The 27,941-nt window shown below is 40.8% G+C and overlaps 1 protein-coding gene and 1 pseudogene across 5 annotated transcripts in view; one reads left to right on the forward strand and one right to left on the reverse strand.

Annotated features, from left to right (window-relative positions):
* DDX50 (DExD-box helicase 50) overlaps positions 1–27,941 on the forward strand; it is a 45,533-nt gene that overhangs the window by 1,525 nt on the left and 16,067 nt on the right. For 2 of the 5 annotated variants that reach the window (NM_024045.2, XM_047425726.1), the window contains exons 2-8: positions 3,872–4,168; positions 7,468–7,543; positions 8,229–8,407; positions 10,323–10,440; positions 10,552–10,737; positions 11,220–11,365; positions 16,993–17,142. In NM_024045.2, coding sequence (NP_076950.1) covers positions 3,872–4,168; positions 7,468–7,543; positions 8,229–8,407; positions 10,323–10,440; positions 10,552–10,737; positions 11,220–11,365; positions 16,993–17,142 — 1,152 coding nt within the window. Of the gene's footprint in view, positions 1–3,430; positions 3,499–3,871; positions 4,169–5,071; positions 5,132–7,467; positions 7,544–8,228; positions 8,408–10,322; positions 10,441–10,551; positions 10,738–11,219; positions 11,366–16,992; positions 17,143–27,941 lie in introns of those variants that run through there. The other 3 variants (XM_011540144.3, XM_047425727.1, XM_047425728.1) reach the window with 3 other exon arrangements.
* On the reverse strand, positions 8,814–8,920 carry RNU6-571P (RNA, U6 small nuclear 571, pseudogene; annotated as a pseudogene).

A 27,941-nucleotide genomic window follows, 5' to 3' on the forward strand; every position in this document is an offset into this window, starting at 1 on the left:
GCTATCTTCATCATTTGATTGACATTTGTTATGCATGTCTATATAAAATTAGTTCATTTTTCCTGTATGTATCCCACATATTTCCCAAAAGTTCTTGAGGAAAGTGACCAAATCTTTATCCATCCTTATGTTTCACTATGTTGTTTTAAATTGGTGGCTTTCACATTGTAAATTCTCCAGAAATACATATTGACTGCCCTTTAACTATGAAAGATAACCAGAGATTTGGAAACGAATTGGAATACCAACTAAAAGAAATAGAGCATTAGAATACAGGTCTGGTGGCTAGCTGCAGTGGCTCATGCCTGTAATCCTAGCACTTTGGGACGCTGAGATGGGAGGATTGCTTGAGCCCAGAAGTTTAGGTAGAGTTTTGTAGAGACCCTGTCTCTACAAAAAATAAAAAAATTAGCCGGGTGCGGTGGCTCATGCCTGTAATCCCAGCACTTTGGGAGGCTGAGGCAGGCAGATCACCTGAGGTCAGGAGTTCAAGACCAGCCTGGCCAACATGGTTAAATCCCATCTCTGCTAAAAATATAAAAATTGGGCCGGGCATGGTGACTCACTCCTGTAATCCCAGCACTTTGGGAGGCTGAGGCGGGTGGATCGTGAGGTCAGGAGATCGAGACCATCCCGGCCAACATGGTGAAACACCATCTCTACTAAAAATACCAAAAAAGGCCAGGTGCGGTGGCTCACGTCTGTAATGCCGGCATTTTTGGAGGCTGAGGCAGGTGGATCACCTAAGGTCAGGAGTTCGAGACCAGCCTGGCCAACATGGTGAAACTCCGTCTTTACTAAAAATACAAAAATTAGCTGGGCATGGTGGCACATGCCTGTAATCCCAGCTACTCAGGAGGCTGAGGTAAGAGAATCGTATGAACCCGGGAGGCTGAGGTTGCAGTGAGCTGAAATCGCACCACTGCACTGCAGCCTGGGTGACACAGCGAGACTCCATTTAAAAAAAAAACCCAAAAAACCCAAAAATTAGCTGGGTGTGGTGGCGCGTGCCTGTAATTCCAGCTACTCGGGAGGCTGAGATACAGGAATTGCTTGAACCTGGGAGGCAGAGGTTGCAGTGAGCCGAGATCGCACCATTGCACTCCAGCCTGGGTGACAGAGCAAGACTCCGTCTCAGAAAAAAAAAAAAAAAAATTAGCTGGGCGTGGTGGCAGACGCCTGTAATCCCAGCTACTCGGGATGCTAAGGCAGGAGAATTGCTTGAACCCAGGAGGCAGAGGTTGCAGTGAGCCAAGATCACGTCATTGCACACCAATCTGGGCAACAAGAGCGAAACTCCGTCTCAAAAAAAAAAAAAAAAATTAGCCAGCCGTTGTAGCTCGTGCCTGTAGACTTAGCTACTCAGGAGACTGAGGTGGGAGGATCACTTGAGCCAGGGAGGTTGAGGCCACAGTGAACCATGGTTGAGCTGCTGCACTCCAGCCTGGGAGACAGAGTAAGACCTGTCTCAAAAAAACAAAACTGAAGTGAATAGTGGTCTGGTATTGAGGTGAGGATAACTTTGGTTCGGACGTGTTGAGATATGGAGCTGGTGCTTAGATTCTTAGAGTTGGAATGTAGGTGAGGAAGGGAGTCTGGAAGTACGTATTGAGCCATGAAAATAGTACTAAAAGTGAACATAGAGAACAGATACTCAAGGAGCATCCACTGGAGGAGGAAGGAGAGGAACCATTGAAGAAGATATGTGGTAGAGGTAAGAAGATAGAGGTAAGAAGGGAATATAAAGTGTAACTGAAACCAAGTAGACGGAGAGTGCCAAGCATTGTGGGTCTAAAGTGGAATTATTTATTTAATCACCTTGAGATGTTACTGGGCTTAGACCGAGAGGTCTCCTTTTGCCTTGCTTCAACTTCTCTCTGTAGTGCAGGGCCCAGAAGCAATTCAAGCCCCAAGGCTGAATCGATAAATAATCTTATTTTTCTGTAGAACCTATTGGTTTGGAAAGATGTGGTCTAGTGTAGTTAACTGCAGATCATATGATGTAATGTGTAACTGCAAAGCATTTTCACACATATTGTTCAATTCTCACAGCAATTCCAATTTTATGGATGAGAAAATTATATGTGAAATAACTCTAAAAGTTGTGTAAGTTATGGTGAACATTTTGGTGGTAGTAGTTTTTACTATCACTAATTACTGCTATCTATTTTGAATATTTGACCAGGTAATTCATTTTTTTGAGAGTGGCCGAGATTACAGGCGTGTACCACAACATGCAGCTAACTTTTGTATTTTTGTAGAGACGGGGTTTCCCCATGTTGGCCAGGCTGGTCTTGAACTCCTGACCTCAGGTGATCCGCCCAACCTCGCCCCCCCAGAGTGCTGGGATTATAGGCGTGAACCACCACGGCTAGCCACCAGGCTAAAGTCCTAAATTCCCAAATCATTTATTGTGTTCTGTAAATATCACAACACTGGCCACTAGTTTGAGATTTTAAAATTGAAGTTGAAAAATAGTGTTTTTTAAAAAAATTAACTGAATTTAAAACGTAAAAAAAAAAAAAAAATCCAGGATTACTGTCCTTCCGTGGAAGTATAACAATTGGACTTCTATATGAATTATATAGTTTCTTTTTGTTTTCCTTTAGCCTGTGAATTGTCAAAGTGCAGGGAGGAAGCATAATGTGAAAAGAGAATGGGCTTTCAAGTCAGGCAGTGCTAGATTCAGTTTCTAGTACTTATAGCTGCAGGAAATCCCACATGTGGATCTTTGGCAAGTTGCTTAACCTCTTACAACTTCTGTTTCCTTGTCTATAAAATGGCAAAGGTGGCTGGGCACAGTGGCTCACGCCTGTAATCCCACCACTTTGGGAGGCCGAGGCTGGTGGATCACCTGAGGTCAGGAGTTTGAGACCAGTCTGGCCAACAGGGTGAAACCTCGTTTCTACTAAAAATACAAAAATTTAGCTGGGCATGGTGGCGTATGCCTGTAGTCCCAGCTACTTGGAAGACTGAGGCAGGAGAATCACTTGAACCCGGGAGGCGGAGGCTGTAGTGAGCCAAGATTGCGCCACTGCACTCCAGCCTGGGTGACAGAGCAAAACTCTATCTCAAAAATAAATAAATAATTAAATAAAATGGCAAAGGTAATACAGGTTCACTATCCCTTATCCAAAATCCTTGGAACTAGTTGTATTTTGGAATTCAGAATTCTGGGGATTTTTAGAAAGGTAGCACCCCGGTAGGGTTTGGGGCCTGAAACCTGTAATCAAACACCTTAATATTAAATATGAGTGGTCATACTAAGCAGGATAAATGAAGACTATAAAGAGCCTCACGTTAGTTCAAGTTAAATTTTGCCATCAAATGAGTTCAGGTAAGGTTTTGCCTCCAAATAAGTTACAAAAAAAACTTTCGGTTTTCAGAGCTTTATGGATATCGCAATTTCGGATAAGGGATTATGGACCTGTACTTCCCTTATAGGGTTGTTATGAAGATTTAAACAAGATAAGCTGAAAACACATTACACAGTGCTGGGTAGGTATTCAATAAGTATTAATTTTTTTTTCTCTTGGAAATGTTGGAAGTTTTTGCTTGTTTAGTAATTTATAATTCTGGGGTTGTCTTTCTTTCCCTGAGGAGAAACCGTTTTAATTTTCCTTAAATCTTATGATGGGATTAGAGAGGGGCTAGAGGCTGAGTCTTGAGAATGCTAGGAAGGGGATGAGAAAGATAGCAACAGTTGAGGCTTAGAGCTTGGCATTAGTAAGCAGTCTGGATTTCTACCAGGCAGGTTTTCAAAGTAACTGTAGATTGAGCTGAACTGGTGGGGGAGTCATGCTCTAACTTCTCTAGAGTCTTAAAAGAAAACCTCTGACCATCTTGTCATTGCTTCTTTGTTTGTTCACAGAGTGACAGAAGGAAGTCAAGGCACCATTATGACTCGGATGAGAAATCAGAAACAAGAGAAAATGGTGTTACAGATGACCTGGATGCTCCCAAGGCCAAAAAATCTAAAATGAAAGAGAAGCTAAATGGAGACACTGAAGAAGGATTTAATAGACTTTCAGATGAATTCTCCAAATCTCATAAGTCAAGAAGAAAAGATCTACCAAATGGAGATATAGATGAATATGAAAAAAAATCAAAGCGAGTATCATCTTTAGATACTTCTACTCATAAATCAAGTGATAATAAACTAGAGGAGGTATGGAAGCTTTTTATTTTGCATTTGACATTGTTGTTGAACTATAGGTTGATTTGAATTTTTTTAGGCTAATTAGAATTGATTCTATAACATTTCTTGATTAGTGTCTAGTATTCTTAGTTGCACTAGAGTCTGTACAGGTGAAGCCTGAGCCTTTTTTCCTTTGGCCCTTGTTTATTTCACTGTATGGCCTTTTTCTTGGGGCGAGGTGGGAGCAATAGTTAAATTTAAACCTTTTCTGTACATTTGGGTTCCTAAAGTTATTCGGAATTGCTTGATGGTTATCTACTTGAATTTCTTTTCTTTTTTCTTTTTTTTTTTTTTTTGAGTCAGAGTCTCTCTCTGTTTCTCAGGCTGGACTGGAATGGCACAATCTCAGCTCATGGCAACCTCTGCCTCCCGGGTTGAAGCGATTCTCCTGAGTCAGCCTCTCAAGTAGCTGGGATTACGGGCACGCACCACCATGCCTGGCAAATTTTTGTATTTTTAGTAGAGACGGTGTTTCTCCATGTTGATCAGGCTGGTCTTGAACTCCTGACCTCAAAGTGATCCACCTGTCTCGGCTTCCCAAATTGCTGGGATTACAGGCATGAGCCACCACACTGGGCTGATAATTAGTAATTCTTTATATTATATAAATACGATAATTGCTGATATTCATATACATTTGAGCTTAATGCATAATCTTTGGGGAAAAGTGTTGAATCCTTGTGTTATGGCCTTTTTTTTTTTAATTTGTGAATTTGCTGTTTGGCAGGAAGCACATGTGTTTGTTGATCTAAATAAGGTCCTTTAAATCTGTATTTCTAGCAGTGGAATGTATGGCTTGCTTCTCACTTTGGTGGGATTTTGCCTGGTAAAATCTGTATTATAATAGGTTTAACAGTTTATTATTTTGTTTAGATCACATGAGAGTTCAGGAATTCTACTTAAAGGAATTTATCCTAAGGAGATGATGAAGAGGTGTGCAGAGCTGTATGAATAAGTACTCTTATCATAGTAATATTGTTGATAATAGGAAAATATTTAAACATCCTAAATGTCTGATAGTAGACATTTGGTTTAAATAAAACATACTATAGCTGTATAATAGAATACAGCTATCCCAAAGGGTGTACAATAGAAAAGGTAGTCATTGTATCTTGTTAAAAGAAAAAAATAGGCTGGGCGCAGTGGCTCACGCCTGTAATCCCAGCACTTTGGGAGGCTGAGGCAGGTGGATCACCTGAGATCAGGAGTTCCAAGACCAGCCTGACCGACATGGTGAAACCTGTCTCTACTAAATACAAAAAAATTAGTTGGGTGTGGTGGCGCATGCCTGTAATCCCAGCTACTTGGGAGGCTGAGGCAGGAGAATCGCTTGAACCTGGGAAGTGGAGGTTGCAGTGAGCCGAGATTGCACCATTGCACTCCAGCCTGGTCAACAAGAGCGAAACTCCATCTCAAAAAAAAAAAAAAAAAAAAAAAGATTATAAAATGGTATATACAGTGTGATTTTATTTCTATTTAAAAAATTTTATGTGCATAGAGTGAAGACTGGAGGAGTATGTTTCAAATATGGCTTTAGCTGAGTGGATTATAAATAATTTTTAAATTTGTTTCTGTTTCCTCTGTAGTTTTTAAAATTTCCTTTTTTTTTTTTTTTTTTTTTGAGATGGGGTCTCACTCTGTCACCTAGGATGGAGTGCAGTGGTGTGATCATGGCTCACTGCAGCCTCATCCTCCCTGGGCTCAGGTGATCCTCCCACCTCAGCCTCCTGAGTAGCTGGGACTATAGGCGTGTAGCACCATGCCTGGCTAATTTGTGTATTTTTGGGAGAAATGGTGTTTCATTCACTATGTTGCCCAGACTGGTCTTGAACTCCTGGGCTCAAGTAATCCACCCACCTTGGCCTCCCAAAGTGCTGGGATTACAGACATAAACCACTGGGCTCTGCCAGTTTCAAAAGTTTCTACAATGACAGTGTATTGTTTATTTTTGTTTGTTTGTTTGTTTTTTATAGAGACAAGGTCTCACTGTATTGCTCAGGCTAGTCTTGAACTCCTGGGCTTAAGTGATCCTACCACCTTGGCCTCCCAAAATGCTGGAATTACAGGCATGAGCCACCACGCCTGGCCGACAGTGTATTATTTTTATAATTTTTTTTATCATAAAAAGGTAACAGCAGCATTGAAGTTTGTTTAAATGGCATGCCATTTGAATTTGAAATTATTTTTTATCTAATTCCAAGTTTGAAAATTGTTAGTGTGTGTTTCTTTAAACACATGAACAATAAAGCTTACTGGGTAGACACACTGTTTTTGTTCTATGTGCACATTAGTATACAAAGTTTTCAATAAATGTTAAATGATAATCTCATGGTAACTTGTATATATGTTAAAGAAATCTTCAAGCTTACGGTAACTTTCTCTTGTATTAGCAACCTAAATAAGCTTTCAAACGCTGTAGAATAAATTTTTAACTTATTTTCAGAAAAACTTTACATTCCTCATTATATACTTTCTTTTAGCTTAGTTTATAGGCTTGTGTTAATCTTTATAATTTTGTCTACATCTGTATGATTTAGATGAATAAATAACCTTTTTGGCTGGGCATAATGGCTTATGCTTGTAATCCCAGCAGTTTGGAGGCCAAGGTAGGAGGATCTTTTTTTTTTTCTTGTTCTTCTTTTGAGACAGAGTTTCGCTCTTGTTGCCCCGGCTGGAGTGCCATGGTGCAATCTCGGCTCACTACAACCTCTGCCTCCTGGGTTCAAGCAATTATCCTGCCTCAGCCTCCCGAGTAGCTGGGATTACAGGCATGCGCCACCATGCCTGGCTAATTTTGTATTGTTAGTAGAGACAGGGTTTCTCCATGTTGGTCAGGCTGGTCTTGAACTCCTGACCTCACATGATCCACCTGCCTTGGCCTCCCAAAGTGCTGGGATTACGGGCATGAGCCACCGCACCTGGCCAGGAGGATCTCTTGAGGCCAGGAGTTTAAGATCTGCCTGGATAACATGGTGAGACCCTGTCTCTACAAAAAATAAAAAACTAAGTGAGCATGGTGGCATGCGCCTGTGGTCCTAGCTGCTTGGGAGGCTGAGGTTGGTAGGATTTGAGCCCGGAGGTTGAGGCCACAGTGAGCTGTGATGGTGCCACTGCACTCCAACCTGGGCAACAGAGTGGGACCCTGTTTCAAAAAAAAAAAAAAAGTGTTCCACTAATTTTCCTTGTAAGTTAATCTGTAAAAAATTAAAAACAGTAAATGAGGAAGAGTTGAGTATAAATTATTTAGGCCATTGATTTCATTTTTACAGACCTTAACACGTGAACAGAAAGAAGGAGCCTTCTCCAATTTTCCTATTTCTGAAGAGACTATAAAGCTTCTGAAAGGTATGCAGTTTGGTTGTTGTTGTTATTGTTGTTGTTTTGAGACAGAGCCTCGCTCTGTTGCCCAGGCTGGAGTGCAGTGGGGCAGTCTTGGCTCACTGCAACCTCCGCCTCCTGGGTTCAAGCGATTCTCCTACCTCAGCCTGCTGAGTAGTTGGGATTATAGGCGTGTGCCACCATGCCCGGCTAAGTTTCATATTTTTAGTAGAGACGCAGTTTCACTGTGTTGGTCAGGCTGGTCTCAAACTCCTGACCTCCTGATCTGTTCCAGTTGGGTTACCAAAGTGCTGGGATTACAGGCGTGAGCCACCACGGCTGGCCCAAAGGTTTGCAGTTTTAATGGATATGCAATTAAAAATCTATCACTAGATTTTGTAAAACTCCTGTGCCTTTTCTGACCAAAAGGAGAACATAAAAAGCATAGAGAAGTAGCTCTTCTTTAATTGCACTTACTTTTACATCATCCTTTTCAATATTCTGCCTTGTTTTTAGCTTTAAGATTTATATGCATTCGTCAAAAGTTTAGACTAATTTTTTAGTAATGCTTGTTTGTGGTAGGAATAACTGTGTCACCAGGTGGCATGTCTTTAGGCAGACATAGAAGAATTATGATTGTCATTTTCAAATGAATATATTTTTTCCTAATGCTAGTCGTAAAGAAGTATTTTAATTAAATCTCATTTTACAGGTCGAGGGGTAACATATCTCTTTCCTATTCAAGTTAAGACCTTTGGTCCTGTATATGAAGGAAAAGATTTAATAGCTCAAGCACGGACAGGAACAGGAAAGACATTCTCTTTTGCCATCCCCTTAATTGAAAGACTCCAAAGAAATCAAGAAACAATTAAAAAAAGCCGCTCACCAAAGGTAATCGTTATAGGGGGTAAAAGCTTTAAATGTTACTCTAACAGAAAGGGAAAGAAAGTTACACGAGTCCTAAGTTCTAGTACCCCCAAAATAGAAAAGTTAGCGCTGTGGCATAAAACAAAAATATGTTGTTTTTCACAAAAAGAAATTTCAAGCAAAGTTAAAGTGAAGTAGTTTTTGCATATGAATGTGATGTGTATGGATCCATAGATGTCTTTGATAATTTCATGAATTATAAAGCCGGTATATCTTATTTACAGTTTTTATATTTAGTTGACCCTTTTCTTCTCTTTTCTTCAGTCCTGACCTTTGCTTTTAAATAAATGAATTTTCTAAAGAGGTGTTCATTTATTTGTCATTCAGTAAATGTTCAGCATCATTTATTTCAGTGTTACCTTTTTTTCCCTTTAGTATGGAATACGTCATGAATTTTCATGTCATCCTTGTGCAGGGGTCATGCTAATCTTCCCTGTGTCATTCCAATTTTAGCGTATGTGCTGCTGAAGTGAGCACACACAGATGGACTTTTTAAGAAGAGTATTATAGAAATGATACTGCTAGTTTATATATTATTGGGGTACTAGACATCTTATTTTATAAATGTAAAATCAACCAACAGAGAGGACTAGTAAAATGTAAGCCTAAAATTTGACCTAAAAAGCTGTGTGCACTTAAGGTTTGTAAAAGTGAAGAAAAAAATCAGCATCATAATATGAACAACTGTATGACTAAAAGTAATTTGTTCTTTGTAAGACTCCTGAGTGGTATTATAAGAGCAAATTAACATACATACATAAATATAATTAAATCATAATAGTCTTGGATCAGCTATCCCAAATCAGGTTGGCTGTGTTGACTTACAGGATAAATATTTTTGGAGAGTTATGTTTTTCGGGTGAAATTAGGAAAAGACTGAAATAGGACATAGGATATAATCTCAACACTGCTTTTTTTTTGTTTTGTTTTGTTTTTTGTTTTTTTTAAAGACAGGGTCTCTCTCTGTTGCCCAGGATGGAGTACAGTGGGGTGATCATGGCTCATTGTAGCCATGAACTCCTGGGCTCAAGCAATTCTCTCTTCCTCTCAGTCTCTCCAGTAGGTAGGACTGCAGGCAGGTGCCACCACACTTGGCTAATTTTTTATTTTTTGTAGAGTTGGGGTCTCATTCTGTAGTCCAGGCTGGTTTTGAACTCCTGGCCTCAAGTGATCCTTCCACCTTGGCCTCCCAAGGTGTTGGGATTACAGGTGTGAGCCTCCACGCCTGGCCCCAAAGCTGCCTTAAAAAGCTTTTGTATTAGAAAGATGTTACTGGAGATTCCAGCTCCGCCATTTCTAGGTGTTTGATTTTGGGCAAGACTTTAATTCTCTGAGACACAAGTCTCTCATTTACGAAAATGGTGGCATAATGCCACTCATGGGTTTTTATGAGAATCAAATTAGATAATTCCTGTAAAGCATTAGTTCCTAGCACATGGTGAACATTCATTCGTTTAACATTTTTGAGTTTCCTGTACTGTACCAGGCACTGTTTGAAGTGTAAGGAATACAGTAACCCAACCTGACATAAATTCCTGCCTTCATGGAGCTTACATTTTATTGGGTGAGATAGACAATCAGCAAATAAGTAAAATATCAGTATCTTAGGTGGTTTAAGTGCTGAGGAGAAATGATAAAGAGGGGCAGGGGGATATGAAAATGGGCTTGGGAACCTCACTGAAGAGACCTGAAGGAAGTAAGGGGGGAATGTAATAAATACATGCTGCTGTTCCTTTTGCTATTTGTGATGTGTCTTTAAATACTTCGACATTAATGTTGAGATTCCTGGTTTTAAATGCACCTAAAAAAAGTCTTCTTGGTTTTAATTTAGATATGTCTTTAGAAAAGTATCTTTTTGTTTTTTAAACCTCTTGCTCAGGTACTTGTTTTGGCTCCAACAAGGGAACTGGCAAACCAAGTAGCCAAAGACTTCAAAGATATAACTAGGAAACTCAGCGTGGCGTGTTTTTATGGTGGAACATCATATCAAAGCCAAAGTGAGTAAATATGTTTGATAGACGTGCAAAGGCATATTTGATACTCATATTTAAATAAATAATGTGAAAGTTTGAATTTTACATATTGGTGGCATTTCTCTCTTCTCACAGTTAATCATATTCGAAATGGTATTGACATCTTGGTTGGAACACCTGGTCGTATCAAAGACCATCTGCAGAGTGGCCGATTGGATCTTTCTAAACTGCGACATGTTGTGCTTGATGAAGTGGATCAGATGTTAGATTTAGGTTTCGCTGAACAAGTTGAAGATATTATTCATGAATCCTACAAAACTGGTATATCCTAATTCAAAATAAGCACATTAGCAATTATTGTTCGATCTTAAATGCAAACGAGTTTTTATTTAATAATTTTTATTGCAGTGTCCCCTGCGTTCTAACAAAACTAAAATAATTTGGTATCTGTTCTGTCCTTGAAAAAGAAAGTATGATAGCATCATTTTAACTATTTTCTTAGCTTTCTGTGCTTTATTCTATTTTTTTATAGTCAGTAGTTAGATTTACTAACTCATTTTATTGATTTCTTTGTTCATTGTTCCTGCTTAAATTCTCACTTTCCTTTTGGGTTCAGTTCTCTTCATATTGTCCCCCAGTTTTGCAAGTTGAAAGTTTTAATAATTGCAATGAAGTCTGTGTGTTAAAAATTCACCCCAAGTTTTACATTTTTCATTATTTTTTTGAAGCTTGGGAGGATTTTTAAGAGCGGGCTACATCGTGGGAAATTAAGAAAACATTTGAATTCTTTTTGTTTATTTAAGATTCTGAAGACAATCCTCAGACTTTACTTTTTTCTGCAACTTGCCCACAGTGGGTATACAAAGTTGCAAAAAAATACATGAAATCCAGATATGAACAGGTTGACCTTGTTGGAAAAATGACTCAAAAGGCTGCAACTACTGTGGAAGTAAGTAGCTTTCTAGCATGATAGATTTTAGCTTTTAGTTGGTATTTACTTTTGACATTTGTTGAAGCTAAATTTAAGTTTTGGGTACCTCTTCATGCCTAATCTTCCTTTTCTGCTCTTAGTAAGACACCTATATATTTTTATAGTCTGAGACTGAGTAGCAGAATAGAATAAATAGGGGGAAAAAAAGCACGTGAATAGGCAAGTCCTAATAGGAAACACACAAGCAGCCATAGAGACAGATTTGAAGTGTTTCTTTCTTTCTCTCTTTAAAGCCGCTCAAAAACAAAAACAAAAAACAAAATATTTACAACGTGACAAAGAAGGCGATTTATATTGACTAGAAAAGAATAGTGCGGAGATAATTTGTTAAAGCTGAGGTGAAAAAAAGATAGATCCTCATCCCATTCCCCCAAACCAAAAAAATTTCTCAAAGATTTAAAAAATTAAGCTGTAAAATAACTTAAAGCAGACGTAGGTGAATAAAGAGTTTTTTGATTTCAGGAAAGGGAATGCTTTTCTAACATAGAAGTTGGGCTGAGCATGGTGGCTCACGCCTGTAATCCCAGCACTTTGGGAGGCCAAGGCGGGCAGATCACTTGAGGTCAGGAGTGTGAGACCAGCCTGGCCAATATGGTGAAACTCTGTCTCTACTAAAAATAGAAAAATTAGCCGGCCTGGTGGCGGGCCCCTGTAGTCCCAGCTATTTGGGAGGCTGAGGCATGAGAATCACTTGAACCCAGGAGGTGGAGGTTGCAGTAAGCTGAGATTGCGCCACCGTACTCCAGCCTGGGTGACAGAGGGAGACCCTGTCTCAAAAAAAAAAAAAAAAACCACAGAAGTCAGAAGAAGAATCCATAAAGGAAAAGGTTTATAATTTTGACTCCATGAAAGTTAAACCAATGGTATGTTTAAAAAAAGAATTAGGGCCGGGCGTGGTGGCTTACGCCTGTAATCCCAGCATTTTGGGAGGCTGAGGCAGGCGGATAATGAGGTCAGGAGATCGAGACCATCCTGGCTAACACGGTGAAACTCCATTTTTACTAAAAATACAAAAAATTAGCCGGTCATGGTGGCGGGCGCCTGTAGTTCCAGCTACTCGGGAGGCTGAGGCAGGAGAATGGCGTGAATCCGGGAGGTGAAGCTTGCAGTGAGCCAAGATCGCGCCACTGCACTCCAGCTTGGGTGACAGAGCGAGACTCTGTCTCAAAAAAAAATAAAAGAAAAAAAAGGCTGGGTGCGGTGGCTCACGCCTGTATTCTGAACACTTTGGGAGGCTGAGGCGGGCAGATCACGAGGTCAGGAGATCGAGACCATCCTGGCCAACATGGCGATACCTCGTCTCTATTAAAAATACAAAAACTAGCTGGGTGTGGTGACCCGCACCTGTAATCCCAGCTACTTAGGAGGCTAAGGCAGGAGAATTGCTTGAACCCGGGAGGCGGAGGTTGCAGTGAGCCAAGATCGTGCCACTGCACTCCAGTCTGGAGACAGAGTGAGACAACATCTCAAAAAAAAAAAAAAGAAAAAAGAACTAAAGGTAATATTTACCGTATTTATGACAGGCAACTAGGTAACATGTCATCTTTCTATTTAATAGATGCATATATATGTGTATGTAGGAAAGACTAGGTGACTAAGTGAATAGTAGTATCTGCAGAATGTAATGCAGTGGTTAAAAACAATCAGTGATAAAAACCAAATTATACAATGATGTATACAAAAATTACACTATTTTAAAAAATAAATAGTGCTAAATGGATTCCTTAGGCATTTATGTAAATATACAAACACAGGTTGAAAGAATAAACATCAGATAATGATTACTTCTGGGAAGGGGCATGCTGGATGGTAAAAAGAAGCTTTGTGGGCCGGGCGTGGTAGCTCATGCCTGTAATCCCAGCACTCTGGGAGGCCGAGGCGGGTGAATCACGAGGTCAGGAGTTCGAGACCAGCCTGGCCAACATAATGAAACCCTTTCTCTACTAAAAATACAAAAATTGGCTGGGCATAGTTGCGCACGCCTGTAGTCCCAACTACTCGGCAGGCTGAGGCAGGAGAATTGCTTGAACCCAGGAGGTGATAGTTGCGGTGAGCTGAGATTGCGCCACTGCACTCCAGCCTGGACAACAGATTGAGACTCTGTCTCAAAAAAAAAAAAAAAAGAATAAGAAAAAAGAAGCTTTTTTATTTTGTAATGGTTGAAAGTTTTGCAGTAAGAATGTAAAATGTATAGTAAAAAACAGTTGATAAGAACATTTTCAAACATATAAAATTGAATAGTAAATTGAATAGAAAGATTGAATAGTATAAAGAACATGATATACCCATTACCTATTACCAGTCTTTAACAATGATCTTTTCTTCACCCCTGCATTTGAAACAATCCCAGTCATCATTTTATCTTCAAGTAATTGTATGTATTTCCAAAATGATAACTAAGGGCTCTTTAAAACCACAGTCATTATCAGTAGAAGAAAAACAGTAATTTTTTTTGAGATGGAATTTCACTCTTGTTGCCTAGTCTGCAGTGCAATGGTGTGATCTCAGCACGCTGCAACCTCCACCTCCCTGGTTCAAGTGATTCCTCCTGCCTCAGCCTCCTGAGTAGCTGGGATTACAGGCGCCCACCACCACACCTGGCTAATTTTTTGTATTTTTAGTAGAGACTGGGTTTTGCCATGTTGGCCAGGCTGGTTTCGAAATCATGACCTCAAGTGATCCGCCTGCCTTGGTCTCTCGAAGTGCTGGGGTTACAGGCGTGAGCCACTGCGCCTGGCATAGTAATTCTTTAATATCATTAAATACCTAGTGTGCACATTGCCCTTGCTGTCTTTTTTAAATAGTTTGTTTGAATCTGGATCCAAATACAATTCTTGACGTTGCTACTGATTGATATGCGTCTTAAACATTTTATAATCTATAGTTCCTTTTTTTTTCTTTGCAATTTTCTGTTGAAAAAACTCATTTGTTGGCCAGGCGCAGTGGCTCACACCTATAATCCCAGCACTTTGGGAGGACGAGGATGGTAGATCACCTGAGGTCAGGAGTTCGAGACCAGCCTGACCAACATAGTGAAACCCTGTCTCTACTAAAAATACAAAAATTAGCAAGGCATGGTGGCACGTGCCTGTAGTCCCAGCTACTTGGGAGGCTGAGAAAGAAGAATCGCTTGAACCAGGAGGCGGAGGTTGCAGTGAGCTGAGATCGTGCCACTGAACTCTAGCCTGGGCAACAGTGTGAGACTCCGTCTCAAAAAACAACAAAAAAACTCATTTGCCTTATGAGTTTCCCACAGTCTGTTTTGCTGATTTGCATCCCTGTGGTTTTTATTTTTCCTTATTTTTTTACTGTTAACACCACTCAAAGATGTGGTGGGTTTTCTTGTTTGTTCGTGTTGTGTTTTTGTTTTTGTTTTGAGAGTCTTGCTCTGTCGCCCCGGCTGCAGTGCAGTGTGGCATGATCTCAGCTCATTGCAGCCTCCACCTTCCAGGTTCAAGAGATTCTCCTGTCTTAGCCACCTGAGTGGCTGGGACTACAGGCATGCGCCACCATGTCCGGCTAATTTTTGTGTTTTTAGTAGAGATGTAGTTTTGCCATGTTGGCCAGGCTAGTCTGGAAGTCCTCACCTCACGTGATCCACCTGCCTCCGGCTCCCAAAGTGCTGGGATTACAGGTGTGAGCCACTGTACCTGGCCTCCCCGTAAGTATTTTAACATACATATCTTTTTTTTTTTGAGATGGAATTTCACTCTTGTCGCCCAGGCTGGAGTGCAGTGGCGCAGTCTCAGCTCACTGCAACCTCTGCCTCCGGGGTTCAAGCGATTCTCCTGCCTCAGCCTCCTGAGTAGCTGGGATTACAGGCGTCTGCCACCATGCCCAGCTAATTTTTGTATTTTTAGTAGAGATGGCGTTTCACCACGTTGGCCAGGCTGGTTCAAACTCCTGACCTCAGGTGATCCACCCGTCTCGGCCTCCCAAAGTGGTGGGATTACAGGCATGAGCCACTGCGCCCTGCCTATATATATCTTTAACTAGAGTGCCATATTTACAGTTTTTTAAATTGAGGTAAAATTCACATAACTAAAACTAACCATTTTAAAGTATACAGTGTCATATAGTACATTTACAGTATACAGCCATCATTTCTATCTAGTTCCAAACATTTTCATCACCCCAGAAGGAAACCCAACAACCGTTAAACAGTTACTCTCCATTCCCTCCTTTTTTTTTTTTTTTTTTTTTTTTTGAGACAGAGTTTAGCTCTGTTGCCCAGGCTGGAGTGCAGTGGCCTAATTTTGGCTCACTGCAACCTTCACCTCCCGGGTTCAAGCAATTCTCCTTACTCAGTCTCCCGAGTAGCTGGGACTACAGGTGCCCATGACTAAGTTTTTGTATTTTTAGTAGAGATGGGGTTTCACCATGTTCCCCAGGCTGGTCTCGAACTCCTGACCTCAGGTGATCCGCTGGCCTTGGCCTCCCAAAGTGCTGGGATTACAGGCGTGAGCCACTATTCCCAGCCTCCATTCCCTCCTTTCTTTATCCGCTGTCAACCACTAGTCTGTTTTTTGTCTGTATGGATATACCTGTTTTGGATATTTCATGTACAGTCATGTGCTGCATAACGATGTTTTGGTCAGTGATGGACCATATATATGATGGCATATGCTCGATGGTGGTCCCATAAGATTAAAATGAATCTGTCCTATACAGGTGTATCAGTTTTTATCTTTTATGCCATATTCTTACTGTGCCTTTTCTATGTTTAGATATGTTTAGAGACGCACATACTTACCATTGCCTACAGTGTTCAGTACAGTAACATGCTGTTTAGGTTTGTAGCCTAGGAGCAATAGGACATACCATATAGCCTAGGTGCGTGTAGTAGGCTATACCCTAGGTTTGTGTAAGTACACTCTTTGATGTTTGCGTAATGATGAAGCTGCCTAACAATACATTTCTCAGAACATATCCCTGTCATGAAGCAACGCATGACTGTAAATGTAATCATACAATATGTGACTTTTTATGTCTTGTTTCATTCACTTAGCATAATGTTTTTGAGGTTCATTCATATAATTTTTATTATGTACAATGAAATGTAAAATCTTGTGTACATTTGCCTATTTTTGAAAAATTCATATGTGTGTAACCCAAACCTTTATCATCATATCGAATATTGCCATCATCCTGGAAAGTTCCCTCATGCCCCGTCCCAGTCAGTATCCCCAGTTCAGAGACAACCACTGTTTGATTTTTCTTCCACAATTGATTGGTTTTGCCTATTCTAGAACTTCATATAAATGGAATGATACTGTATGTGCTCATTTTCTGTAAGATGTTATTCGGCATTTTTTTTAAGGTTCATATTGTTCCATGTATATCAGTAGTTGGTTTCTTTTAATTGTTGAATGGTATTCTGTTTGAATATACTGCAGTTTGTTTATTCTTTCGTCAGTTTATTGATGACCATTTGTCTATATTGTTTTTAAGTGCTGTTGAGGAGAGTCTTTGTCTTACAGTCTCCCAGGAAGGCTAATTCTTGACCAGATAGAAAAAATACACAAGAGAAATATTTTAAAATAATTTTAATGAAACAAATAATGTGGTATTTTCTTTCTTCAAAGCATTTGGCCATCCAGTGTCATTGGTCTCAGAGGCCAGCAGTTATTGGAGATGTCCTTCAAGTCTACAGTGGGTCTGAAGGGAGGGCTATTATTTTCTGTGAGACCAAGAAGAATGTAACTGAAATGGCCATGAATCCACACATAAAACAGGTAAGTCTTTTTTTCATGCTTTCTCTAATTGAAATTATGGGGATGAATCACTGAACGAAAATTATATTGTCCTTTGTGGACCAGATTTGATAGTCATTCTCAAAACTGAGTTGTAAGGCTGGGCATGGTGGCCCACACCTGTAATCCTGTGACCTGATAAGTCAGGATAGAATTTTATCAGTTTTGTTTGTTTGTCTTGAGACAGGGTCTCCCTCTTATGCCCAGGCTGGAGTGCAGTGGGACAATCATGGCTCACTGCATTCTTGACTTCCTGGGCTCAGGTGATTCTCCCACCCCAGCCTCTTGAGTAGCTGGGACTACAGGTGCGTGCCACAATGCCCAGCTCATTTTTTGCGTATTTTGTAGAGATAAGATTTCACCATGTAGCCCAGGCTGGTCTTGAACTCCTGGGCTCAAGCAATTCCGCCCTCCCCTTGGCCTGCCGAAATGCTGGGATTACAGGTGTGAGCCATCACACCTGACCTCTATCAGATTTTATCAGTTTTTTTTTAAGACTTTGAAAATGTGATCTGGAAAATATAAAAGTTGAAACAAAATGAATTTCTATGGGTAAGAGAGGGTAATATTTTAGAGTTGTGTTACAAAACTACAAATTTTTATTAAATTAATAAATCAGAATACTAAATCCATGTGTTTTTTTCTTTCTTAAAAAATATCTTTTGGCTGGGCACGGTAGCTCATGGCTGTAATCCCAGCACTTTGGGAGGCTGAGGTGGGTGGATCGCCTGATGTCAGGAGTTCAAGACCAGCCTGGTCAACATGTTGAAACCCCATCTCTACTAAAAATATAAAAATTAGCCGGTGTGGTGGTGGGCGCCTGTAATCCCAGCTACTCAGGAGGCTAAGGCAGGAGAATTGCGTGAACCCAGGAGTTCAGTGATGTAGCGGGGAGCTGAGATTGTGCCACTACACTCCAGCCTGGATGACAGAGTGAGACTCCATCTCAAAAAAAAAAAAAAAAAGAAAGGGAAAAAAAAAACCTTTTAAAGAAAATGTCAAACATGGACAAAAGTTGGTAGAATCATGTAAGGAACCCCTATGTATTCATCCACCAGCTTCAGTAATTATTTTATCTATATGCTAACCTACCTACTCTTTCAGAAGTATTTTGATGCAAACCCTGGATATCATATTATTATATCCATAAATGTTTGGTTATGTATCTCTAAAAAGGATTTTCAAAAAAAAAAATAACAATACTGTTATCACATCTAAAAAATTAATATTTAGAAATATTAATTCATTTCACATTATCAATTGTCTTACAAATGGTTATTTTCTTTTATTGTTTGTTTTCTTGAATCTGAGTCCAAATAAGGTTTTTACATTGTGTGATTATTAAGTTGCTTTTAATATATGGATTACTCCTTTATGCATTTTTTGTAGCTTTTTTTGTTTGAGAAACTACATTGCCATAAATCTAGAGTATTGCTTCCCCATGATGTCATTTAGCATGTTCCTCTGTCTTCCATATTTTCTGAATATTCAGGTTTGTTTGTTTGTTTGTTTAGGGCAGAACTACTTCATAGGTGGTGTACTTCCGGCAGGAGGTATATATGTCTAGTTCTTTTTGTGATGCTAACATCCACCAATAATCAGTGCCATCAGTCCTTATGTCACTGTCTCTCCAGTCATTTTTGTTGTTTGTGACTTGTTATTAAGTAGATTCCTGAGAAAGGGCTTATGGAAACAGTATCGCCTATTGATAATATCTTGTTTGTGTCTTTATACCTCAAAATTATTTTGGCTCTATATAAAATTCTTGGTTCACATTTTCTTTCCTTCATTGTCTTAAATATGTTACTTTACTGTTTTTGGAATAAAGCATCGGTATAAAAAGTGAGATGCCAGTCTAATCTTTTTTCCTTATATGTGATTTTCTTAAAATCTTTTTTCTAAGTGATTTCCTTTAAAAATCGGTAGTTTTACTAGAATATATTTTGGTGGTGTTCTTTGTCAGTTTTTCTGGGTACGCAGTGTACACTTTCAATTTGTAGTTTCATATGTATTTTTTAAAAGTTTCAACAAAATTTTCTTGAATTACAATTTTTAGCATTTGGTTTTACAGTTGCTTTGGTTTTCTTCTTTAAGGACTCTTGTTGTGCATATATTGACTGTTTGTTTTGAATCTCCCTTGTCACATCAAATCTTTTTCCTCTTTTTCCTTATTCAGTTTTCAAAATTTCTCTCTTTTTTTTTAAGAGACAGGATCTTGCTGTGTTGCCCACATGGGAGTGCAGTGGCTATTCACAGATGTAATCATGGCACTTGATAGCTTTGAGCTCCTGTAGCTGGGACTGTAGGCATGCACCACTACACATGCCTCAAAATTTCGCATTTTTAAAAAATCTGTTGTGTTTATTCAGTCTTTTACTCTTTCTAGTATAGTCTTAATTTGTGAAAAGTTATCTTTTATTTCTACTTCTTTCTTGAGTTATTTTATCTCATTGAAAAACTGAAAAGTTTTTCTTGATTTTTGTTCTTTATTACAGCATTAAAATTTTTTCTTTTAGCAGGCATGGTGGCTCACACCTGTAATCTCAGCACTCTGGGATTCTAAGTTGAGGATTGCTTGAGCCCAGGAGTTCAAGAAAAGCCTGGGCAATATAGCAAGACCCTGTCTCTACAAAAAATAAAAAAATTAGCCAGAGGTGGTGGTGTGTGCCTGTACTCCCAGCTGCTCAGGAGGCTGAGGTGGGAGAACTTCATGAGGCCAGGAGCTAGAGGTTACAATGAGCTGTGATCGTGATGCTGTACTCTATCTTGGGTGACAGAGTATGACCCTTTCTCTCTCTTTTTTTTTTTTTTTTGAGAGTCTCCTATTGCCCAGGCTGGAGTGTAGTGGTACAATCTCGGCTCACTGCAACCTCTGTCTGCCTCCTGGGTTCAAGCGACTCTCCTGCCTCAGCCTCCTGAGTAGCTGGGACTACAGGCGCATGCCACCACACCCAGCTAGTTTTTGTATTTTTAGCAGAGACGGGTTTCACCATATTGGCCAGGCTGGTCTCAAACTCTTGACCTCGTGATCTGCCCGCCTTGGCCTCCCAAAGTGCTGGAATTAATTACAGGTGTGAGCCACCGCACCTGGCTGAGTATGACCCTTTCTCTTAAAAAAAAAAAAAAAAAAAAATTCTGTTTGTGTGTGTGTATATATACATATAAAACTTTAAAAACTTTTATATATTATTTATATATTTAATATATATAATATATATTTTATTTTTTTTTCGGAGATGGGGTCTCTGTCACCCAGGCTCAAGTGCAGTGGCATGATCTTGGCTCACTGCAGCCTTCACCTCCCAGGTTCAAGTGATCCTCCCACCTCAGCCTCCTGAGTACCTGAAACCACAGGTGCATGCTACCATGCCTGGCTAAGTTTCATTTTTGTAGAGATGGGATTTCTCTAAGTTGCCCAGGCTGCTCTCAGTCCTGAGCTCAAGTGATCCACTTGCCTCTGCCTCCCAAAGTGCTGGGATTACAGTCGAAAGCCACTGTGCCCAGCCAATATATGATATATATGTATATTTTATTTTATTTATTATCTTTTAATTTTTTGTTGAGACACAGTTTCACTCTATCAGCCAGGCTGGAGTGCAGTGGCAAGATCCCGGCTCACTGCAACCCTCCGCCTCTTAGGTTCAAGCGATTCTTATGGGTCAGCCTCCAGAGTAGCTGGGATTACAGGTACACACCACCACACCCGGCTAATTTTTGTATATTTAGTAGAGATGGGGTTTCACCATGTTGGGCAGGCTGGTCTCGAACTGCTGACCTCAAGTGATCGTTTTGCCTCGGCTTCCCAAAGTGCTGGGATTATAGACGTGAGCCACCATACCCGGCCATATATGTTTGTTTGAGTTCATTCACAATGGTATGCTTTTATTTGTTTTGTGGATAAGCTTTTCTAGATCACTTTATTTGAGGAGATAGTCTGCTTTTTTTTTTTTTTTTTTTTTTTTTTTTTTGAGACAGAGTCAAGCTCTGTGGCCCAGGCTGGAGTGCAGTAGTGTGATGTCAGCTCACTGTGACCTCTGCCTCCCAGGTTCAAGCGATTTTCCTGCCTCAGCATCCACAGTACTACAGTAGCTGGGATTAGAGTTGCTGGGATTATAGTCGGTGGCACCACGCCCAGCTAATTTTTGTATTTTTTGTAGAGATGGGGTTTCACCATGTTGGGCAGGCTGGTCTAGAACTCCTGACCTCAAATGATCCACCTGCCTAGGCCTCCCAAAGTGCTGGGATTACAGGCATGAGCCACCGTGTCTGCCAAAATTTTTTTTTTTTAAGAGACAGGGTCCCACCATGTTGCCAGCGTTGGAGTGCCTTGGCTATTCACAGACACAATAATAGCACACTGCAGCCTCTAACTCCTGGCCTTAAGGGATCTTCTCTCATCAGCCTCCTGAGTAACTGGGACTACAGGCATGTGCCACTGTTCCCAGCTTATTCTGCCTCTTATTGTTTTTTTCCTTCCTAATTACTTTCTGTGAGATTTGACTGTGATCTCTTCTGTTGCTCATTTTTAAATTAAGTTAAACTTTGAACCTTAGATGGGAAGGCATTGGTGAGAATACTTCTGGCGTCACAGCTCTAGAGCTGCTGCTTTTGTTATTTTTGTTAGTGCTTAAAAATATAGTCTGTAAATTATATCTGAGTAAAGCTGTTAAAAAAAAAAGGTCTACTTTCTAGTTCTAGCTGTGTCTTTCCTCATTTTTCTCTGTATCTTTTTTTTTCTTTGATCCTGTTATTCTTGGCATCCTTAGTTTAGATCCTCTGTCCAGCAGTTTCTCCTCAGTATGGGGCTTTGTCCTGGAAAGTGAGCATTGGCTGTTAATTTAGAAAGTTTTTATAGGGCCCAGCTTGCTCCAATCCCTGCAGACCTTAACTCTGGCTCCTCACAATCACCCTCAAGTATATAAAAATCCTCCCAGGTTCAGCTGCTGTTGTCAACAATTTGAGAATATGCCTTCCAGGTAGCTTTTCAGTATGCTTTCAAGATGTCAGACCTGAAAGACTGGGTCCCTGAATCACCTGTTCTTAGGACTAGCAAATTCCCCCACGTAGATACAAGAATTATCCTTCCCTGCTCATGGTTTTTTTTTTTTTTTTTTTTTTTTTGAGAAGGAGTTCTGCTCTTGTTGCCCAGATTGGAGTGCAATGGTGCGATCTTGGCTCACCACAACCTCTGCCTCCCGGGTTCAAGTGATTCTCCTGCCTGAGTCTCCCAAGTAGCTGGGATGGCAGGCATGCGCCACCATGCCCAACTAATTTTTTTTTTTTTATTTTTAGTAGAGACAGGGTTTCTTCATATTTGTCAGGCTGGTCTCGAACTCTCGATCTCAGATGATCCACCCGCCTCGGCCTCCCAAAGTGCTGGGATTACAGGCATGAGCCACCGCGCCCAGCCTCTGCTTATGTTTTAGAAATCATGAGACCATTTTGTCAGTTATTTGTTACATGTGTCATCTGTGGATTTTTAGTTTTGTTATCCTAGTTGATGTGTGTTATGTGGGAACTAGAGACTCAAAGTCACTGTCTTCCCCAGTGTCATTTTAACTAATTGTGTAGCATTAGCTTTGATGTTTAAATGTCCAGTATAGGCCAGGCATGCCTGTAATTCTAGCACTTTGGGAGGCTGATGTGGGAGGATCATTTGAGGTCAGGAGTTTGAGACCAGCCTGGGCAGCATAATGAGACACTGTCTCTATAAAAAGTTAAAAATTAGCCAGGGCCAGCTGCAATGGCTCACGCCTGTAATCCTAGCATTTTGGGAGGCCGAGGTAGGCAGATTGCCTGAGCTCAGAAGTTCGAGACCACCCTGTGCAACATGGTGAAACCCGGTCTCCACTAAAATACAAAAAATTAGCCAGGTGTGGTGATGCACACCTGTAGTCCCAGCTGCGTGGGAGGCCGAGGCACGAGAATCACTTGAGCTAGGGAGGCAGAGGTTGCAGTGAGCCGAGATCGCGCCATTGCACTCCATCCTGGGCAACAGAGCAAGACTCTGTCTCCAAAAAAAAAAAAGATTAGCCAGTTGTGGTGGCACGTTCCTGTATTCCTGTCTACTTGGGAGGCTGAGGCAAGAGGATTGCCTGAGCCCAAGAGTTAGAGGTTGCAGTGAGCTATGAACATGACACCGCATTCCAGCCTGGGCGACAGAGCGAAACTCCGTCTCAAAAAACATAAATAAAATAAAATAAAATAAATAAAGTCCTTTATAAACAGATAGATGGTAAATAGTGAAAGAGTGGTAGAGGGTAATTGATTTACCTTTCTTTTCGTTGCTTTAAAATATTCAGTAGCGGTTGTCTTGCAGAAGCTGTTTTTTAATCTTGAAGAAATTGTCTTGCTACAAAGGCTGGGGGAGAATTCCCCTTTCAGTGGACAGTAATCTGTTTCTGTGATTTGGAGAATGGAATTCTCCATCCTCCATTCTGCTGGGTGACTTTGCTATTTAGATAGAAAGTACTAGTAGTATCTCATTATGAGTTATATGGGATTTTATGGATTAACTACAGAATCTGAATAGTTTTTTGTTTTTATTTTTAAATTGTAATTTACTTGTAAAAAGTCAAGTTTTACTTGGTTTCCCCCAGAAACAAATGCCTTCTAAATTCTAAACAGCTGGGTTTGGTGGTGCACCTGTAATCCCAGCTACTCAGGAGGTTGGGGCGGGAGAATCGATTAAGCCCCAGGCAACACAGCAAGAACCCACTCTCTAAATGAATGAATGAATGAATCATTAAACAGTCTCTGTGTCTCACACAGAGATACACACACACACACACACACACACACACACACACTTTTGGAAAAAAAAATTATTCAAAAGTTGGAGACCTGGAAACCATCACTGATACCATGAATGTAGTATGTTCCTCTTAGGACAAATTATCAAGTAAAAAAAACCCCTGTGTTCTTTTTTTTTGAGAGAGGGTCTTACTCCGTCGCCCAGGCTGAAGTGCAGTGGTGTGATCACGGCTCACTGCAGCCTCAGTCTCCCAGGCTCCAGTGGTTCTCCCACCTCAGCCTCCCAACCAGCTGGGACTACAGGCATGCGCCACCACACCTGGCTAATTTTTTATTTTTTGTAGAGACAGGGTCTCCTTGTGTTACCCAGGCTGGTCTCGAACTCTTAGCCTCAAGCAGTCCTCCCACCTCGGCCTCCCAAAGTGCTGGGATTACAGGCATGAGAAAAAAACCTGTGTTGCAATTGAAAAATTCACTATGAAAAACTGTCCAACTTATTTATAGTATATTTGTTTATAACTTTTTTTCAAAAATTAGATGTTTCTTCTCTTGAAATATTTTTCTTAACTTGGGTTATATGATAACCACACAGGTTTATTTTCTTCTTTGGCTAACCTTTCCCAGTTTCTGTTGAGGTCTTTTTATATTCTTGTCTATACTTTAAATATTGGTATTCCTTACAGATCTGATTCTTACTCTACATATTTTTCATGGAGGAAAAAAGAATAGTGATTAATAGCACAGACTTGGGAGTCAGATTGGGGTTTAAATCTCAGTTATGCTACTTACTAGCATAATTTTGTACATACGTACATATGCACACATACTTACGTACATATATTGTCCTGCTTTTAAGAAGTGGTATTTCAAGTATCTGCTTTTGGTGAAGAAAAAGTAAATTAAAAAAATATATATTTGCCAAGCATGGTGGCCCATGCCTATTAGCCCAGCACTTTGGGAGGCCAAGGCAGAAAGATTGCTTGAGCCCAGGAATTTGAGACTAGCGTGGGCATTTCATTTATATAGTAGATATATTTTTAAAGGGAGTCTTATGCATGAATTAAACATCTTAAAATGTATTATGGAAATTGTATAAGCTTCCTATTTAAAGGGATACTTTTGAGCTGGCCGCCATGGTTCATGCCTGTAATTCTAGCTACTCAGGAGACTGAGGTGGGAGGATCTCTTAGCCCAGTATTTTGAGGTTGTAATGAGCTATGATTTTGCCATTGCAATGTAGGTTGGGCGACAGAGCAAGATTCCATCTCTTTAAAATAAATGAATAATAAAAGGATGTTTTTGAAATTAAAAGAATTTCCCTGGGAAGCCAAGACAGGAAAATTTCTTGAGGCCAGGCATTCAAAAGCAGCATGGAAACATAGCAAGAATCTGTCTCTACAAAAAATAAAAAAATTGCCTAGGTGTGGTGGGACACACCTGTGGTCCAAGCTACTGAGGAGGCTGAGGTGGGAAGCATTTCTTGAGTCTAGGAGGTCGAGGCTACAGTGAGCAATGATCATGCCACTGCACTCCACCCTGGGCGACCGAGTGAGACCCTGTCTCCATAATAAATAAATAAAATTTAAAAGGTGGTATTAAAAATTACTTTCTTTTTTACCATTTTAAGATTTAGGTGGGCCAGGCACGATGGCTTACATCTGTAATCCCAGCACTTTGGGAGGCCAAGGCAGGAGGATCACTTGAGCTCAGGAGTTTAAAACCAGCCTGGGCAACATAGTGAGACTTCATCTCTATATTATTTTTTAAAAAATTGTTTATTTAAAGCATTTTGCGTAGTGCATTTCTTTTCTTGAAGCAAGGAGTCAATTAGTATAGGAATATAGAAGTATAGATATGTATAGATAGGTCTAATCACTCCTGTGGCTCCAGTCATTGAGTATATGGTAATGATACCCAAATCTTTTTCTCACTGGGATCTGCCTCAAGAATACTAGACCTACTAGCCACAGACACACCAACCTTTATGTTCCTAAACCTAAATTAATTAACTTTCTACACTCCTATACCCACTCTGTCTCCAGCATTCCCTAGGGCTAAATCATACATCTACCCATTGCTTAAACCAGAAATTTATGTATTATTCTTGAATTTATTCCTTACCCTTGGCCATCCAGCCAACTACATAGTATTTTTGGATTATATCTCCTATGGTTTAAAGTGTCCCATTTATTTCTTTTTTCTTTTCTTTTTTTTTGAGACGGAGTCTTGCTCTTTCACCAGGCTGGAGTGCAGTGGCGCGATCTCGGCTCACTGCAACCACCACCTCCTGGGTTCAAGCGATTCTCCTGCGTCAGCCTCCCGAAGCTTGTATTACAGGCGTGTGCCACCACGCCTCGCTAATTTTTGTATTTTTAGTGGAGAGGGGGTTTTGCCATGTTGGCCAGGCTGGTCTGGAACTCCTGACCTCAAGCGGTCCACCCACCTCCGTCTCCCACAGTACTGGGATTACAGGTATGAGCCACTATGCCCAGCCTGGTCCCTTCCTTCCTTCCTTCCTTCCTTCCTTCCTTCCTTCCTTCCTCTCTCTCTCTCTCTCTCTCTTTCTTTCTCTTTCTTTCTTTCCTTCCTTCCTTCCTTCTTTCCTTCTTTCCTTCCTTTCCTTTCTTTCCTTCCTTTCCTTTCTTTCCTTTCTTCCTTCCTTTCTTTCCTTCTTTTCTTTCTTTTCTTTCCAGATGGAGTTTCACTCTTGTTGCCCAGGCTGGAGTGCAATGTTGTGATCTTGGCTCACTGCAACCTCCACCTCCTGGGTTCAAGTGATTCTGCTGCCTCAGCCTCCTGAGAAGCTGGGACTACAGGCGTGCACCACCACACCCAGCTAATTTTTGTATTTTTAGTAGAGACGAGGTTTCACCATTTTGGCCAGGATAGTCTCAATCCCTTGACCTCATGATCCGCCCACCTTGCTCTCCCAAAGTGCTGGGATTACAGGCATGAGCCACTGCGCCTGGCCTCTTTTTTTTTTTTTTTTTTTGAGATGGAGTCTCACTGTGTCGCCCAGACTGGAGTGCAGTGGTGCGATGTCGACTCACTGAAACCTCCGTCCTCTGCCCCCGGGTTCAAGTGATTCTCCTGCCTCAGCCTCCCTAGTAGCTGGGATTACAGGTGTGCAACACCATACCCGGCTAATTTTTGTATTTTTAGTGGAGACGGGGTTTTGCCATGTTGGCCAGGCTGGTCTGGAACTCCTGACCTCAAGTGATCCGCCCACTTTGGCTTCCCAAAGTACTGGGATTACAGGTGTGAGCCACTGTGCCCAGCCTGGTCCCTTTCTTCCTTCCTTCCTTCCTTTCTTTTCCTTCCTTTCCTTTCCCTTCCTTCCTTCCTTCCTTTCTTTCCTTTCCTTTTTTTTTTTTTTTTTTTTTTGATGGAGTTTCGCTCTTGTCGCCCAAGCTGGAGTACGATGATGTGATCCCAGCTCACTGCAACTTCTGCCTCCCGGGTTCAAGCGATTCTCCTACCTCAGCCTCCTGAGTAGCTGGGATTACAGGTGCCTGCCATCATGCCTGGCTAATTTTTGTATTTTTAGTAGAGACGGGGTTTCACCACATTGGCCAGTCTGGTCTCAAACTCCTGACCTCAGGTAATCCACCCGCCTTGCCCTTCCAAAGTGCTGGGATTATAGGCGTGAGCCACCGTGCTCAGCCTTCATTTATTTCTTACACCAGTTGCAGAAGCTAAACATCTGAGAATCATGTATAATGTATCTCTTTCCTTTATACATCATTTCTACTCCCTTGAGTATGTCCTTCCAATTTCATCAACTAATAGTTCTTGAATTCAGTTATGGTGTAGCCTCTAGCCTCTACTTACCTTTCCAGCCTCATCTTACACTTCCCTCTCATTTTTTCATTTTGTGCACACACTCCATACATGCCATGGTTTTGTTTTTTTTGGGGGTGGGGAGACAGGGTCTCACTCTGTCCCCCAGCCTGGAGTACAGTGGCACAATGGCTTATTGGAGCCTCAACTGCGTGGGCCAAAGTGATCCTCCCACCTCAGCCTCCCAA

Source organism: Homo sapiens, chromosome 10 (genome assembly GCF_000001405.40).
Source record: "Homo sapiens chromosome 10, GRCh38.p14 Primary Assembly".
NCBI lineage: Eukaryota > Metazoa > Chordata > Mammalia > Primates > Hominidae > Homo > Homo sapiens.